General features: G+C 46.1%; 1 annotated feature.

Annotated features, from left to right (window-relative positions):
• Positions 1,765-2,679: an enhancer, noted in NCBI's record as "H3K4me1 hESC enhancer chr6:149761776-149762690 (GRCh37/hg19 assembly coordinates)". NCBI's record gives its function as "activates a minimal SCP1, AML or CMV promoter by ChIP-STARR-seq in naive H9 embryonic stem cells {active_cell/tissue: H9 hESC(naive)}" and the evidence as "EXISTENCE:reporter gene assay evidence [ECO:0000049][PMID:30033119]".

Raw genomic sequence — 3,936 nt, forward strand, 5'->3', positions numbered from 1 at the left:
AGTGGAGTTCTTGATTTGACTCTCAACTTGTTCATTGCTGGTGTATAGCAGTGCCACTCATTTGTGTGCATTGGTTTTATAACCTGAGACTCTACTGAATTCGTTTATCAAATCTAGGTGTCTTTTGGATGAGTCTTTGGGGTTTTCTAGGTATAAGGTCATATCATGGCAAACAGAGATAGTTTGACTTCCTCTTTTACAATCTGGAGGCCCTTTATTTCTTTCTCTTGCCAGATTTCTCTGGCTAGGACTTTCAGTACTGTGTTGAATAGAAGTAGTGAACGTGGGCATCCAGGTCTTGTTCCAGTTCTTTGGGGGAATGTTTTCAACTTTTCCCCATTCAGAATGATGTTGGCTGTGGGTTTGTTGTATGTGGCATTTATTATTTTGAGCTATGTTCCTTCTGTGCCCAGTTTGTTGAGGGTTTTTATCATAAAGTGATGCTGAATTTTATGGAATACTTTTTCTGCATCTGTTGAGATAATCATCATATGGTTTTGTTTTTCATTCTGTTTATGTGGTGAATCACACTTATTGACTTGCATATGTTGAACTATCCCAGGGCCCTGGGATGGAACCCACTTGATCATGGTAAATTATCTTTTTGATGTGCTGTTGGATTCACTTTTCTAGAACTTTGTTGAGGATTCTTGTATCTGTGTTCATCAAAGATAGTGTCTGTAGTTTTGTTTGTTTGTTTGTTATGTTCTTTCCTGGCTTTGTTATCAGGGTGATATTGGCTTCATCGAATGAGTTAGGGAGGGTTTCCTCCTTGATCTTTTGGAATTGTTTCTGTAGGATTGGTAGCAATTCTTCTTGGAATGTCTAGTAGGATTCGGCTGTGATTTCACTGGGTCCTGGGCTTTTTAATGTTGGGAGATTTTTTATTACTCATTCAATGTCACTGCTTTTTACTGGTCTGTTCAAGATTTCTATCTCTTCCTGATTCAAGCTGGGTGGGGGTGGGATTTGGGGTTAATTATATCTTGTTTTGCTGAGGTCAGTGGGAAGAGGCAGCTCAGAAGCTGAAAAGCAGCCTGGAATCCCAGTCCACCAACCCCTTGCTTTTCCCCCATCTAGCCCAGCCTCAGTTCATTCTGCCAGCAAAAGAAAGAGACCAAAGCACTACTGGCAGACCTTCACAGGTTTGTGTGTAGGTCTGAGGCCTGCGCCAGCTAAGCACATATTTTGAACATCCCCCTTTTCAACAATGAAAAATTATTTCTCATGTCGTTTCTGCTCATTAACAAGATTCTAGCATCTATTTCTGTAACAATTATTAGGCTCCTAAGGTCCCTCCTCTGGAGAGAGAAACCCCTATTAGGGGCCTTCAAATGCTAACCAACCAATCTTTCATGCAGATTAGAGATTTTTTTTTTTTTTTTTTTGAGACGGAGTTTTGCTCCTGTTGCCCAGGGGGAAGTGCAACGGCACAATCTTGGCTCACTGCAACCTCCGCCTCCCAGATTCAACAGATTCTCCTGCCTCAGCCTCCCAAGTAGCTGGGATTACAGGCATGTGCCACCACACCCGGCTAATTTTGCATTTTTAGTAGAGACAGGGTTTCTCCATGTTGGTCAGGCTGGTCTCGAACTCCTGACCTCAGGTGATCTGTCCGCCTCTACCTCCCAAAGTGTTGAGATTACCGACGTGAGCCACCACACCCAGCCCCTAGAGTTATTTATAAATGCATTCATACTACTCTTTACACCGAATTCTTTTTAGCCTAAGTAACCATAAAGATAATACAAAACCGACCTTTGGCAAGTTGCTTCCAGCACCTCAGTTTTCTCTTCTATGAGATGGAATTAATGGCGCACATCCCAAAGGCTGTTGTGAGCATCCCGGGGTGATTCAGAAACAGGGTAGAAGGAATGTGCACAATGAACCCGAGCTTTGTTTTGAACCAGAAGGTGAGCTCTGTGACAGCAGGACTTTCCCCAGGTCCTAGAACAGAGGGCACATAGCAGGGGCCTCACATATCGTGCTGGATAAATGAATGAATGAACCAGGATATTTTTGTAGAAATCCCTAAACTGACACAAAGGCCCCAGGGCCACCAGCTCCCCCTGTGCCTTCAGCAAGTGACTCAGCCTCCGGGACAGGCGTCCACTCAGGACCTCTGAGTTTCCTCCAGACTCTATCCCGCCGTGAACAGACAAAGCCACACACAAAAGTACACAGCCCTCACCTACAGGCCCAAAGAACAAGGCCCAGGATTGCTCAGTGTCGCTAACCTACCCCACGAGCCCTCCTTCCTTGCACACCAGCCCAGCTGCCCACAGGTGCTGCAGGCCCCAGCTGCACTCACAGACTCTGGAAGGAGGCTGACTCATCAGAATTATAATAATTCATCCGCTCTTCCTCAGCCCCTCAGCTGTGAAGGGCCAGGAGCCCAAAAGGAGGTGGGAAGAGGCCAGGCAGCGGGTGGCAGGGCAGAGTGAGACACGCAGCTCTGGGGACTCTCTCGGGGGATTCTCAACAAGGATTGTGGGCCAAGGAATACGAATGACATGGCCCAGGGCATCCAAAGGATAGCTGCCATTCTGTATGAAGTATGAGGCTGAGCCTCTCCCAGGGTATGAACCCTGATGGCAGAGGCCATGCGGTCAGGTCTTACAGTGGAAGAAATGGGAAACCTCTTGCCACTGAGGTTCCTAAATCACTCTGGGTAAATAAGCAAAGGAAAACCTCCCCACGACCCCAGGCAGAGCTTTGACAACAAATCAAAGGTCAGCAACGCCATAAATCTACTGCCTTTGCCACAAACAGATCATGAAGAGCTATTTTGAAAACGACTGGGCCAAAAAAATTCCCTGGAGCCGAATCAACTCAAAGAGCTCAAACAGAGAACAGGAAAATCTTCCTCCTTCTCTCCCAAGAGACCAGACCATGAGGCCCCCAGAGCTAAGCACCCACAGTGAGGGCTGCCTCCTTGCACTGGCGAGAGCACAGTCCCTAATGCCAGACCCAGGACAGTGTTCGTGGCCTTGGGTGCTGCAGACTGACAGGTCTTCCCCCAACAGCCACTGCAGCCTGCAGGTGGGCAGCTTCCCAGAGGAGCCTCCCAAGATCCTTCACTCCCCGGCCCAGGAGCCAGGGCCCGCACGGGATTTTCTAGCAGCGCATCCAGGTGAGCTGCTCACCTGGACTATGCACATGGGTTCAGGTCTGACAGCCCCGGGGCTAGCCAGGGATCTGGCCCACGAGGATTTTCTTTCCATGAAAAATGCACACATGCATGTATGTGTGGAAAACGGCCTGAAGGGACCCCCATTGGTATTATCAGATGTCACTGCAAGATCCCTGAATTTTACAATGGCTACATTCTGTACAATAATTTTTTATAAAGATGACTGAATTTTCTGAATAATGAATGTGTATGTTATACTTTTAAATACAGCATTGTTTGGCAAATTTTTTTTTTCATGTTACCCAAAGTTATTAAATACAGAGATTTAGAAAAATAGAAACCAAAATGGGGAGAGGATCACCTGTAACCATAATCCCACTATCGAGATATATTCTGATGATCTTTTAGTGAATTCCCTGGGTATTTTCCTATAATAAGCATTTTTAATAAAAAAAAGATTATATAGCACATTCTTTTCTTTTCTTTTCTTTTCTTTTCTTTTCTTTTCTTTTCTTTTCTTTTCTTTTCTTTTTGAAATGGAGTTTCCCTCTTGTTGCCCAGGCTGGAGTGCAGTGGTACGATCTCGGCTCACTGCAAACTCTGCCTCCCAGGTTCAAGCGATTCTCCTGCCTCAGCCTTCTGAGTAGCTGGGATTACAGGCATGAGCCACCACGCCCAGCTAATGTTTGTATTTTTAGTAGAGACAGGGTTTCTCCATGTTGGTCAGGCTGGTCTCAAACTCCCAACCTCAGATGATCTGCCCGCCTCGGCCTCCCAAAGTGCTGGGATTACAGGCATGAGCC

This window comes from Homo sapiens, chromosome 6 (assembly GCF_000001405.40).
Source record: "Homo sapiens chromosome 6, GRCh38.p14 Primary Assembly".
NCBI lineage: Eukaryota > Metazoa > Chordata > Mammalia > Primates > Hominidae > Homo > Homo sapiens.